Source organism: Homo sapiens, chromosome 10 (genome assembly GCF_000001405.40).
Source record: "Homo sapiens chromosome 10, GRCh38.p14 Primary Assembly".
In the NCBI taxonomy this organism is placed as follows: domain Eukaryota; kingdom Metazoa; phylum Chordata; class Mammalia; order Primates; family Hominidae; genus Homo; species Homo sapiens.
The window spans coordinates 80,926,015-80,940,643 of NC_000010.11; the positions used below are offsets into that span (position 1 = coordinate 80,926,015).

The following is a 14,629-nucleotide window of genomic DNA, read 5'->3' on the forward strand; positions in this document are numbered from 1 at the left end:
AGTAATCCTTATTTTACTGAATAATGGCCCCAAAATGCAAGACTAGTGATGCTGGCATGCTGTTATAATTGTTCTATTTTATTATTGATTATTATTGTTAATGTCTTACTGTGCCTACTTTATAAATTAAACTTTATCATAAGTATCATGTATATGTAAACACATAATACAGTTTATATAGGGTTTGGTATTATCCTCAGTTTCAGGCATTCAATGGGGGTCTTGGAATGTATCCCCTGTGTATAACAATATAGAAACACTCAAATTGATGGTTCTCAATCCTGACTGCTTATCATAATTTTCTACAGAGCTTTTTAAAAATACATATGCTTGGCTTCTAATTCTTATTCCAAATTCAGAAAGGGACCTGTATTAAAAAAACACAAAAACAAAAAACCTCCAGAGGTGATTCTTATGTGTCATTCTGACAAGAACTCTAAACTTTCAAAATTGAACTGGAGAAAGGAAGTTCCTGAATAGCTGAGTGGTAGTGTTTCTGAGATAGCAAAACCTTTACTTTCTTTGATTGTCTTTGATTGAAACAAGTATTTTGAGCAACCCTAGATATACTTTTCCCTCAATAACATTAAAATGTGTATTATCTTATTCTGTTTTACACTTTTATAATATTTTTTGGCTAATGTTCCTCATAAATACATTCTCATTTAAAATATTTTTATGATAAATAAGTGGCAAGAATATTACAGTCTTTGGAAAGATTGATAAAAAATAATCAAACAAAGGTCTTTTTAAGTACAAATACTTGAAAGATTTTGAATAGGATTGAATGGCTGAGGGAATGAAAGTTAAACTACAACTTAAAAAATTTACATTTGAAAATAATTGGTATTTTCTCATGTTATAATTTAAAATTTTTTTCAAGTATGTTAATTCATTTTGTCATTTTTTAATATCCCCTCACAGCTGGACATGATTGTTATTGTTATCATCCCTAATTTACAAATACTGAAACTAAGCCTCATGGAGTGACCACTTGAAGATCACATATCTAGTAAGTGGAGAGCTGAAATTCAAAGGCAGGGGATCTTACTTAAAATGTCACACTGTTAAAAAATCTCCCAAAACTGGGAGGCAAAGGCAAAAAATGGGCCAAGTTGATCATAACTGACTTAAAATTACAATGAGTTTAGTGGCCACGGTTAAAATGACAGAGTAGGTAGTTCCAAAGGCCTGCCTCTCCAGAAAAAACACTGAAAAATTGAATGAAAATGGTCAGAATCAACTTTGTCAGAACTCTGGGAAATAGTCAAAAATTTATAGCAAATAAGCAAACACTGAATCAAAAAAGATAACGTAAAAATGGCAAGAAAGCTTTGTGGCAGTTTTATCTGCTTTTACCCCTCTGCCATCCCTAGCTCAGTTGTGGTCTAAAGACAGAAGCTGCTGTTCCCAGTGTGAAGCCTTGGTCCCTGCTTTTGGACGGAGCAGAAAAAAACTTAATCTCAAATAACTTTTTTGGTCTGTTTTGACTGTTTGGGGACTACCTGAAGAACTGATATAAAGCATTTGCCTTTGTTTTACCTAGTTTTGAACTTTTTCAGGGCAGGAAAGCACCTATACCTAGGGTATTTCTTGAAAACATTGTAAGGCAAATGAGCAACCCGGTGCTATCTGGGGCTAAAGATTACAGTTGACACAAATAGTACACACGCTGAAAGCCTGGGAGAAAGATTCTTTGGGAAATTAGGGAAAGAATATCACCCATGTATATCAGGGACTTTTGAAAGTCACACACAAGCTTGGCATAAAACGTGTGCTCAGAAAAAAATCTGAAAAGACCCTAAGCTTTTATCTCTGGATGACCCCTAGGCTCAGCACAAACAGTTAAAGAAGGCTAAGGCAGAGTTCTAAATTGCCTGGCTAAGCATTAAATCAGTGTCCCAACACAGAGCCAATCTCCAAAGACTGGGAAAGTTTCTTTCTCTTCTTTCCTCTCTCTCTTCCTGCTTTTTCTTTCTTTATCCCAGGTGGACACGGTAAATACCCTAGCTGACCAAGCTAAAGGAACAGAGACTTCAGAGACTACACATGACAAAGAATTAGACTTTACAAAAATTATTAGAAATGTCACTAAGCAAACAACTCTACCCAAAGTAAGCAGCAAAAACAAACCCTGGAGAGGGAAGAAAAATCATATTTCTAGAGTTGCCACATTATAATATTCCAAGATGTTTGGTTTTCAACAAAAAAATAAGAAGCATGCAAATAAAAGAGGTATAGCACATGCATAGGGGAAACTACAGAAACTGTTCCTGAGAAATCACTGACATTGAATGACTTACTAGACAAAGATTTTAAGTCAACTGTTTTAAATATGCTCAAGGAGTTAAAAGAAACCAGAAGAACTATGTCTCACCAAATAGGAAATATTGACAAAGAATTATAAGTTATAGAAAGAAACACAGCAAGAATTTTGGGGCTGAGAATGATAATAAATGAAGTAAAAAATCCACTAGAGGATTTCAATAGCAGATGTGAGCAGGCAGAAGAAAGAATCAGCAAATTTGAAGGTAGGTTAATTAAAATTATTAAGAAAGAGTAGCACAAAGAAAAGAGAATGAAGATAATAAACAGAGCCTAAGAGACCCTTGGGGCACCATCCAACATATACTCAAAATGGGACTCTCAAAAGAAGAGAGAATGGGGAAATAATATTTGAAGAAATAATGACTGAAAACTTCCCAAATTTGATAGAAGACACAAAACTACATATCTAAGAAGGTCATTGAACTCCAGGATGGATAAATGCAAAGAGGTCCACACTGAGCTATGTTATGATCAAACTGTCAAAAGTTAAAAATAAAGAAAATCTGAAAGCAGCAATAGGAAAGTGACTGTCACATACCAGGTACCCTCAATGACATTGACAGCCAATTTTTAGCAGAAACTGGAAGTCAGAAGGCAGTGGGATGACATAGTAAAAGTGCTGAAGGAAAAAATATCTGTTACTCAAGAATTCCATATTCAGCAATATTCTTTTTCAACAATGGAGGGAAAGTTAGGAGAGCCTCAGATAAACAAAAGTGATGGGAGTTCGTCACTAGCAAACATGTAACACATGAAATGATAAAGAGAGTCCTTCAGGCAAAAGCAAAGACACAAGAAAGTAACTTGAAATCATATGAGAAAGAAAGAACCCTGGCAAAGGTAGCAACATATGTAAATACTAAAGCCAGTATTGTGGAATTTTTCATTTGTAACTCTTTCCATTTGTAAATGATTTAAAAGACAAATACATAAAAATTGTAAATCTATGTTAATTGGAGCACAATGAATAAAGATGTCATTTGTGACAACATAAAGGGGCAAGGGTAGCCTGTATAGAAGCAGGGATTTTGTATATTATTGAGCCTAAATTGAATTAATTAAAAATAGATTGTTATAAGTTTAAGAGGTTAATTATAATCCCCAGGTATCACTAAGAAAATAACTAGAATTTTATTGTCTTAGCTCAGCTGCTATAACAAAATACCATAAGCTGGGTGGCCCACAAACAACAGAAACTTATTTTTCACAGTTCTGGAGGCTGGTAGTTAAAATCATGGAACTAGCATGGTCAAGTTCTTGTGAGGGCCCTCTTCTGGTAGACTGCTAACTTCTTGTTGTATTCTCACATGGCAGAAAGAGCAAGCTAACTCTCTGGCTTATTCTTATATGGGCACTAATCACACTGTTTGGGCTTTACCCTCATCACATAATTACCTCTCAAAGGCCCTAATACTACCACATTGGGGTTAAATTTAAACATATTAATTTTGCAGAAACATGAACATTCAGCCAATAACAACATCTATGAGAAACCCAGAGCCAACATCATACTTCATGGTAGGAGACTGATGCTTTGCTCCTAAGATCAGGAACAAGACATGGATGTCACTCTCACCACTTCTACTTAATGTTTTCCTAGAGGATCTAGCCAGGGAAATTAGGCAAAAACAAAAATAGAAGACATTCAAAATAGAAAGGGAGAAATAAAGCTCTCTCTGTTTACAGATGACAATATCTTATATATAAAAAAATCCCAAAGAATCCACTAAAAATCCATTAGAATAAATGAATTAAGCATGATTACAAAATTTAAAAAATCGGTTGTATTTCTGTACACTGGAAATAAATAATCTGAAAATAAAATTAAGAGAAATATTTTGTTTACAACATTGAAAATAATAAAATTCTTTGTGATAAACTAAACAAGAAATGCAAAAACATGTACCCTGAAACCTGTAAAATATTGTGCAAGAAATTAAAGAAGACCTACATAAGTGGATAAACATTCCATGTTCATGAATCTGAAGATTTAACATTAAGATGGCAATAATTCCCAAATTGTTCTAACAGATTCAATGCAATCACTGTAAGAATCCTGAATTACTTATTTGTAGAAATTGACAAGCTAATTCTAAAACTTATATGGAATTCCAAGTGATCCATAACCTTGGGGGAAAAAAAGAACAAAGTGGAGGACTCATACTTTTTTTTATTTCAATAGTTACTATAAAGCAACAGTAAGCAAGGTTGTATACTGGCATTAGGATAGACGTATAGCTGAATGAAATCGAATTTAGAGTCCATACATACACCCATACATTTATGGTTGAGTGATTTTCATCAAGGGTCCTAAGACCATTAGAAGGAGAAAGAAATCTTTTCAACTAATAGTGCTGGGACAATTGGAATGTCACATGCAAAAGAATGAGGTTGGACCCCTACCTTATACCATATGCAATAATTAACTCTACATGGACCAGATTCCTAAATGTAAGAGCTAAACTGTAAAATTCTTATGATAAAACGTAGCGGTAAATCTTCCTGACCTTGAATTTGGCAAAATATTCTTGGATATGACACTAAAAGCATGAGCAATGAGAGAAGAAATAAGCTAGACCTAATTGCAATTAAAAACTTTTTGCTTCAAAGGACACCATCAAAAAAGTGAAAAGACAACAGAATGGAAGTAAATATTTGCAATCTGATAATCTATACCTAAAAAAATTTAAAAATTTTGTCAATTAATAATAAAAAGACAATCAAGTTAAAATACAATCAAATTATTTGAATAGAAATATCTGCAAGAAAGACCACAAATGGTCAATAAACAAAGGACACTCAACATCATTCGTCATCAGGTAAATACAAATAAGACCACAATGAGGTACCACTTTACACCCCCTTGATGGTTGTAATCAGAAAGTCAGATAAAAACAAATGTTGCTGAAGAGTTGAAGAAATTGGAACCTCATATACTGTCGAGTATGTACAATGGTGCAGCCACTTTGGAAAACAATCTGGCAGTTCATCAAATGATTAAAGACAGACTTTCTATATGATCCAGAAATTCCAATCCTAGGTGTGTACCCAAGAAGAGTAAAAACATATGTGCACATAGAAACTTGTATACAAATACTTATAGCAGCATTATTCATAATTTCCAAAAGGCAGAAGGAACCCAAAATGAATGAACAAAATATTCTTTAGTCATAAAAATAATAAAGAACTGATACATGTTACAACATGAATAAACCTTGAAAACATTATATTAAGTGAAAGAAGTCAGTCACAAAAGAGCACATATTATATGAATCCATTTATATGAAAGTTTTAAATAGTGAAACCTATAGAGTTGGAACATAGTAGTTGCTTAGGCTTGGGTGTGGAGCAGGGGAACACAGGATGAAAGTAGGATGATAGCTAAAGGGGATAGAGTTTCTTTCTTGAGGTCATAAAAATGTTATAAATTTGACTCTGGTGATAATTAAACATATCTGTAAAATGTACTTAAAACCATTGAGTTGTACAGTTTAAATGGGAAAACTGTACAGTGTATGAATTATATCTCAATAAAGCTTTAAAAAAAGAAGAAATAGAAAATATAAATAGACCTATAATTGAAAATGAGATTGAACCAGTAGTCAAAAATCTCATAACAAAGAAAAGTCTTGAACCAGATGGCCTGCCTTGTGAATTGTATGACTCGTTTTAAGAAGAATTGACACAAATCTTTGTCGAATTCTTCCAAAGAATAGAAAAGGAAAAACTTCCTAACTCATTCCATGAGCTCAGCATTACCCTAATGCCAAAGCCAAAGGTACACGGGAAAACTATAGATTGATATCCTTTACAAATGCAAATGTAAGAATGCTCAAAAATACTAGCAAACAACATTTTAAAATGATTATACGCCATGATCAAATGGTGTGCAAGAGTAGTTCAATATATAAAGGTCAATAAATTCCATATATTATGTCAAAAGAATAATTTTAAAAATCACATGACTATTTCAATAGATGCATAAAAAGCATCAGACAAAATCTAACAGCCTTTTAAGATTAAAAACGCTTAGCAAACTATAACTAGAAGGGAAGTTCCTCAATCTGTCAATGGACACTAAAATGAAAAGCAAAAAACAACAACAACAAAAACCCCACAGTTAACATTATACTCAATGGTAGGAAAATAAATAAAAGGCATCTAAATAGGAAAAGAAGAAGTAAAACTACCCTTGTTTGTTGATGACATACACAGAAAATCCTAAAGAACCCATACACAAAAAGTATCATAGATAATGAATTCAGAAAATTTGCAGGATTAACATAGAAAAGTCAGGTATATTTTTACATATTAGCAATGAAGAATTGAAAGTGAAATTAAGAAAACAATTCTGTTTACAATAGTGTTTATAAGAATACAATACCTGGCAATAAATGTATCCAGGCAAATTGTTATGAGCTGAATTGTGTCCCCACAAAATTCATGTTAAAGCTCTAATGCCCAGTTCCGAAAAATGTGACTATATTTGGAGATAGGGCATTAAAGAGGCAATAAAGTTAACATAAGGCTCTTATAGTGTGGGACTTAATCAATCTGACTGGTGTCTTTATAAGAAGAGAAAATTTGGACACACAAACACTAGTTATGTACACTCACAGAGAAAAGACCATGTGAAGACACAGTGAGAAGTCATCCATCTGCAAGCTAAAAACAGAGCATCAGAATGAAACCAAACCCACCAACAGCTTCATCTTGGACTTTCAGCATCCAGAAATGAGAGAAAATAAATTTATGTTGCTTAAGACACCTAATATTTGGTATTTTGTTACGGCAGCACTAGCAAAGAAATACAAGGTGAAATCTACAAAATATTGCTGAAAGAAATTATGGAAGACTTAAGTAAGTGGAAAAACTTATATACATGGGTTGGAAGACAATATTATTAAGATGACAATGCTACCTAAATAATCTATAGATTCAGTATAATCCTTACTAAAATTCTCATGGCCATTTTTACATAAATAAAAATGCTGATTCTTAAATTTAATTAGAATTGCGAAGGCATCCAAATAGTTAAAACAGTCTTGAAAAAGAAGAACAAAGTCAGCTGACACACACTCCTGATTTCAAAACTTAGTACAAAACATTTGTAATTAAAACAGTGTCATATTGGCATAAAGACAGACATATAAGTAAATGGAAAAGAATTGAGATCCAGAAGTAAACTGAGACATACTTGTGGTCAACAGGGTTTGGACAAAAGAAAAATAAAAGTCTTTTCAACAAATGGTGCTATCACAGCACAATGCCTATAGGGGAAAAAAAAAAAGAATTTTGACCACTACCTCACACTGTATATCCATATTAACTCAAAATGAATCATGAGTCTTAATGTAAAAGCTAAAACTATAAAAATTTTAAGATATTACATAGGGGCATATCTCTACTGACCTAAATTTGTCAATGGATTTTTAGGTGTGACAACAAGAGATGACATAAATAACATTAAAATTCAAAATTTTGTGCGTCAAAGGATGTTATTTAAAAAGTGAAAAGACTACAAAGTGGGATAAAATATTCACAAATCATATATCTGATAAGGATCTGGTATCTAGAATATGTAAAAAACTGTTATAACTTAAAAGACAAGAAAAACAATTTAAAAATTGGTAAAAATCTTGAATAGGCATTTCTTCAAAGAAATAAAAATGGCCAAGAAGCACCTGAAAATATGTTCTACATTATTAGTCATTAGAGAAATGCAAATCAAACACATAATGAAATACCACTTTATACCCACTAGGATTGCTACAAGTAAAAGAAGAAAAATAAAAGTAAATGACAATGTGGAAACATTTGAACCCTCGTATGTACCTGGTGGGAATGTAAAAGATGTAGCTACTTTGGAAAATGGACTGATAGCAGCCATTCTGACTAGTGTGAGATGATGTCTCACTGTGGTTTTTATTTGCATTTCTCTAATGATCAGTGATGTTGAGCTCTTTTTTTTCTTATGATTGTTGCCCGCATGTGTGTCTTCTTTTGAAAAGTGGTCTGCTCATGTCCTTTGCCCACTTTTTACAGGGGTTTGGTTTTTTTTGCTTGTAAAAGTTTCTCATAGATGCTGTATATTAGACCTTTGTCAGATACACAGTTTGCAAAATTTTTCTCCTGGAAAAAAAGGAACACTTCTACACTTCTGGTGCGAGTGTAAATTAGTTCAACCATTGTGGAAGACAGGGTGGTGATTCCTCAAAAACTCTAAAAACAGAAATACAATTTGACCCAGCAGTTCCATTACTGGGTGTATATACAAAGGAATAGAAATCATTCTGTTATAAAGATACATGCGTGCGTATTTTCATTGCAGCATTATTCACAATAGCAAAGACATAGAATCAACCTCAATGCCTATTAGTGTTAGACTGGATAAAGAAAATGTGGCACATACACGCCATGGAACACTATGTGGCCATAAAAAAGAATGATATCATGTTTTTTGCAGGAACATGGGTGGAACTGGAGGCCATTATCCTTGGCAAACTAATGCAGGAACAGAAAACCAAATACGGTATGTTCTCACTTATAAGTAAGTGGGAGCTATACAATGAGAACCCATGGACAAGCAGAGGGAAACAACACATACTGGGGCCTATCAGAGGGTGGAGGGTGGGAAGAGGAAGAGGATCAAGAAAAATAACTAATAGGTACTAGGCTTAATACCCAGGAGACAAAATAATCTGTACAACAAATGTTCATGACAGTTTACCTACATAACAAACCTGCACATATACCCCTGAACTTAAATGTTAAATTTAAGAAAAAAGAAAATGGTTTGAAAGTTCCTCAGAAAGTTAAGCATACAATTAGTATTTAACTCAGCAGCAATTCCACTCCTGGGTACCTCAAATTAAAAATAGTTACTCAAATGCTTGTTCATGAGTGTTCATAGTAGTGCTATTGACAATAGCCAAAAGGTGGAAACAATGTGTTTATTATGGATGAATGGACAGGATATCAAGATTAACACTTCCTCTTCCTCTTTCTTCTCAGCCTACTCAACTCGAAGAAGATGAGGCTGAAGACCTTTATAATGATCCATTTCCACTTAATGAATAGTAAATATATTTTCTCTTCCTTATGATTTTCTTAATAACATTTTCTTTTCTCTGGCTTTATTGTAAGAATATAGCATGTAATACATATAATATACAAAATATGTGTTAATTGATTGTTTATGTTAATGGTAAGGCTTCTAGTTAACAGGCAAGGCTTCTGATCAATGGTAGACTATTAATAGTTAAATTTTGGAGAAATGAAAAGTTATATGTGGATTTTCATCTGTATAGAGGCACCCCTAACCTCCACATTGTTCAAGGGTCAGCTGTATTTAATTTCCTCAAACTGTAGTTCTTTAATATCTCTTTTATTTACAACATTTGCTCTTATTGTAATGATACGAGCATGTGTTTGAATTTTCTGGAGACACTAAAAAGTAAGATTTTGTCTTTTTGTTTTAGGTTCATTATTCTTCCCAGAAAATCTGTTTCTTACTGGTGTTAACAAAAGACCATGAGATCTGCAGAAGAAAAAGGGAGAGCTTTATTTTCTACATCAAACAAACAAAAATCTTCAGATTGGGGAGACATAACCCCTGGTGTAAAAGGAAAGCATGTTTCAGAGAACTGAGAGGGGCTCTGACTAAAATAGGGAGAGTTCCTGCTCCAGGCCTTCAACTGGGTCTTTATATGTAAATGAAAGATTTAAATACATTCAGTCCAGATTGGTTGAGAACGACTGAGTCCCAATTGGGTAGTTTCTAAGCCCCAAACCAGAAGTCGGTTGTCTGGCCCTTTTAGTGGGGCTGGGGGTGCTTTCTGGTCACCTGTCTCAGCTCTGGTTTCAGGAACTGTCTTAGCTCAGACTGGAGCTGCCTTCTCCAGCAACAAAGGGTGTGTGACTGCCCTTGTCTCACTCACCGTAGCTACTGTTTCTTATTATTTTAATATGGGTGTGTCTATCAGCTACAGAGTCTTTCCTTCCATATTCTTTTGCTTTCTCTTTTTCAAAGAAAAAGAGAATTAAAGGCTTCAATTTCCCTTCTCTTTTTTCTTGGTTTACTAGTTTGTTTTCTCTAATACTTCAGTTTTTCTCATTTAGTTGCTGATTGCTGGGTTTTTGTTTTAGTGGGAGTGAGCCAGGAGGAGGCAATTTCCACAAATGCCAGTGTAAGGAGGGCTTATTTTCCCAATAATCTAGTTTCCCAGGAGCATTTTCTTTAATTTCTTAAGAAAAGAGCCTTTTTTTCTTTTGATGTCATTTGTTTTGTTTGAATCATATATGCTGTACTGCTTGTCACTGTGCTTGTGGGGGCCATGGTTGAGGCGATTGGCACTATAGTTTTCAATATAGACCTTGAATTATCTCCTCTATTTACTGGCATGTATATTTGAGCTGCAACTTTCATTTTCGGTTTCAAATAAAAATATTTTTTCATCCACTTTTTGTCTTCCAGAAAGTAATCTTAACTTTCATGTGCTGATGATGCTGTCTTCTGCCCCTCCCTTTATCGGTCAATTCCATGATAAATTATTTGACTGTTATTTTATTGGTTCTCATACTGGCGGGTAGCAAATGTTTGTGCTCAGTCTATTGGCTGACACCAGGATTCTCGTGAAATTAACAGTTTTCCTTCAGATATTTTTAAAGCTATGTTGCTTAGGTCATGGCATAGGTTATGACTTTGGTTTCCTTACTGTAAACAAACTTTCAATTAAGTCCAATGTGTTCAGCCCTCTGTATTTCCATCTTCAAAATTCTGAAATTAGACCCCTTTGGAAGCTCTTCTGAGCAGATAATAGGGGAGATGAAGGTGGAGGTGGCCTAATTATTATATTTCATAATGGCAAGTCAATATATTTAGAATAGAGCACGCAAGCCAAGAAATAGATATGCAAACATATTATTAAGTATAATAAAATTATTGTCAGAAGAACAAGTTAAAAGTGTTTGTCCCTGGGGAATAGGATTAAGCATATAGTGAATCAAGAATACATTGCTGTTGCTTGTAAGCTCCCAGGCATTCTTTCAGTTTTTACCTATGTGCCTCTTTTGATTTTCTATTTTTAGTTTTTCTAGTGGTCTTATCCTTAATTCTAAATAATGTTCTACAGTTCTATTTTACATTTTCTAAACAGTAGGCATTATCCACTCACTCTCCTTACTAGAAAAGAGGAAGAGTTGCCTTATCCTGGTTTTCTTTGTCTCTCCTTTTCCCAGTTATTAAGATGCATGTCCATGCATTGATGGTTGTTGTTGTGATTGTTGTTTTGGTTGCTTTTTTTCCCTCTTCCTCCTCTGTTTCCACTTGTTCTTCTTCCTCAAAAATGAGGCAAAAATATGTGGGGTGATCCAAAGCAATGTGGTGAGTGCTCATGTGTGTTGCCTGGACCCTCCCTTAGGGACTGAAACACACGATTTCCCCAGTTCAGGGAGTGTTGACTGCAGAAGAATTACATCTGCATTGCTCTCTGGTCACTCCTGTTGGTCTGGGAACTGCCTTGCTCAAGGTCTATCCCCTCCCTGGGGCAGCTGACATCTAATAACTGTTCAGTGAGAAAATAAAAAAGGCTCAACTCCCTTGTCTCGATTTGAGATAACTCTGAAGAACCACCCTAGCTCCAGAACTTTCCGGGAGATCAGCTAAGGGCTCTGGTGCAGCTGAACAATTCTAACTTCTCACTCTGCTTTGTCCTGCTTCCTTCTATGCTTTGCTGGAGTTGATTCCAAAAGCACCCCCACAATAAACCTCCCCATCTCAGAGCCTGTTTCCTGGAGAATTGAGCATACCATATTAGAAGTCATAAAAGTAAGCACTGGGCCGGTCATGGTGGCTCACGCTTATAATCCCAGCACTTTGGAAGGCTGAGGCGGGTGGATCACAAGGTCAGGAATTCGAGACCATCCTGGCCAACATGGTGAAACCCTGTCTCTACTAAAAATACAAAAAATTAGCCAGGCGTGGTGGCGTATGCCTGTAGTCCCACCTACTCGGGAGGCTGAGGCAGGAGAATTGCTTGAACCCAGGAGGTGGAGGTTGCAGTGAGCCAAGATCGTGACACTGCACTCCAGCCTGATGACAGAGCGAGACTCCATCTGATAAAAAAAAAAAAAAAAGTAAGCACTGGAAGAACTAAACACACACACAAAAATTAAAAGTAATTGCTTTACATTAGGGTAAAAAAAGAGTTTGGGCTGTTTTATACCACAAACCATTTATATCATATTTGCTTTTCACCATGTTAAAAGCAAATAAAATTCGGGACTGTTGAAGTTTAAGAAAAACAAACTATAAACTATAAAGAAAACTAATGATTCAATATGGCAATTTTAGAACTGCATTTGTCATCCAACTTGTATCAATTCCCATTGAAATTATACAAAAGGTCAGGCTTGGAAACCATGTCAGCAATTTTGTGGAATTTTGCAGACTCTTTTCAGCAGATATACTAGAAAAGCATACTGTATTGAGGAAAGGGCTAATGGATCAATATTAATTTTATATGGGGAAAATACTTATGTAACAAATATTTCCTGAGCACTTATTGTGTGTGTGTGGGGGCAGGCAATAAGCAAATGAACCTGTAATACATAACATGTCAGAGGGTGATAGCTGCTGAAAGAAAGATAAAAGAGAGTCATGGCAAGAGGGGCTGTAAAGAGGAAGAAAGGTGGGTCATGGGCAGATTTTGGAGGAAATGAATTCAATGCTTTTGGCAAGTGCACTAAGGACTGTCATGCTCAGTAAAAGAGGAACTCTCAAAGCTGCCTCCTAATCAGGAGGTTGCCAATTACGGGATGGACAGGAAGGCTGCTTTGACTAACTTCATGCTTTCATAGGAAGTTCAGAAAGCCAATAATTTGGCAAAGTAATGAAAACTCTATGTCTACTTTAGAATTCTAATAAAGAAAAGTGAACATCTAAACTGTCTGTTTATTCTTCATGAGATTTGAAAATTGTGGAGAGGCTCAATCTCTGAAAGAAATTATCTCTGAGTCTCTGAAAGATTAATCACCTGATCTATCATCTCAGCCAATCAGGCTCCCTTCACTGACCTCTCTAAAGATGGATAAACAGAAGGAAAAAGTTATCAGAGGGAAAAAGCATTTCAATGTTTATAAAGGTTGGCTTAATTCAAGGAAGCAAAGTGAATGAGACATTTGAGGCAAATACTACAAGTGAAAAAGAAAATGGGAGCAAGTCTAATTCAAATGGGTTAAAGAGATCAAAATAAAAGATTCCAGTGAATTAAAAGTGAAATAATCTGACATACAGAAAGTTTTCCTAGAAATGAAAAACATTCATTTCCAAAAATTTGAAATAGATTAAAGGAGACAGTGAAAAGCAGACTAGATTCTGCAGAAAGGCAAATCATAAGTTGTGATGACAAAGTAAGAAATTCTCTCTGATTCAGAGGAAACAAATGAGGTGAATAAATAGAGGAGAGGTTTAAAAAGACATGGAGGACATGTCTGGAATTATAGAACAGGGGCAAAGGGAAAATGGATAATAATAAAAATAGGCATTTACTGAGTGGTTACCATAGGCCCAGACCCTGTTCCAGTTTTTCAGCCTGTGTTTACTTTCTTAATTCTCATAACAATCTTAGAGGGTAAATTATAATATCTTCACGTTATAGTTCACGAAAATTAGGCATGAAGTGATTGTGGAATTTGCCCAAGGACACATAGTTCAGAAGAAAGGAGCTGGGATCTAAATCCAAGATTCTAATCATGATGCTATGCTGTCTTTGAAAATTAAATGAAGTATAAAACAGAAATGACTCAGTTTTATTTTCATTATCAGATTGAAAGGACTTTGTAAGTAACTTGATTGCTTCTCACTTCGGTGTCATAGTTTGGAAAGATTAATGTACCATGAGATTATTTAAATGTTGGGTTTATTTTCTATACTCTTATATTGGATAGCTTTTTTTAATACACCTGGACTAAATACTAGTGCATTATGTAAGCTAAAGGTAGTATATAATTATTTCTAAATAATTACATTATTATCCCAGGCAACTTACAGAATTTGACAAATTTTCCAGTGATTTGACCTGTCATCTCTATATGCTAAAGTTGGCAAATAAATATTTCTACTTAATTCTGAGTACATTTTATAATTAAAAATTGTTTATACAGTTATCGAGTTAACTGAGATTTTAAAATTCATTAATATCAGGTTGTTTATAGAGCTCCTTTTTACATATAACTATTTTCTTAGCATCTGTGGTCATACACAACTTTTTATTTGCAGTTTGCTTTGTTTATTTAGGAT

The 14,629-nt window shown here is 34.6% G+C and overlaps 1 annotated feature.

Moving 5' to 3' along the window:
* Window positions 721–1,222: an enhancer, noted in NCBI's record as "NANOG hESC enhancer chr10:82686491-82686992 (GRCh37/hg19 assembly coordinates)". NCBI's record gives its function as "activates a minimal SCP1, AML or CMV promoter by ChIP-STARR-seq in naive H9 embryonic stem cells {active_cell/tissue: H9 hESC(naive)}" and the evidence as "EXISTENCE:reporter gene assay evidence [ECO:0000049][PMID:30033119]".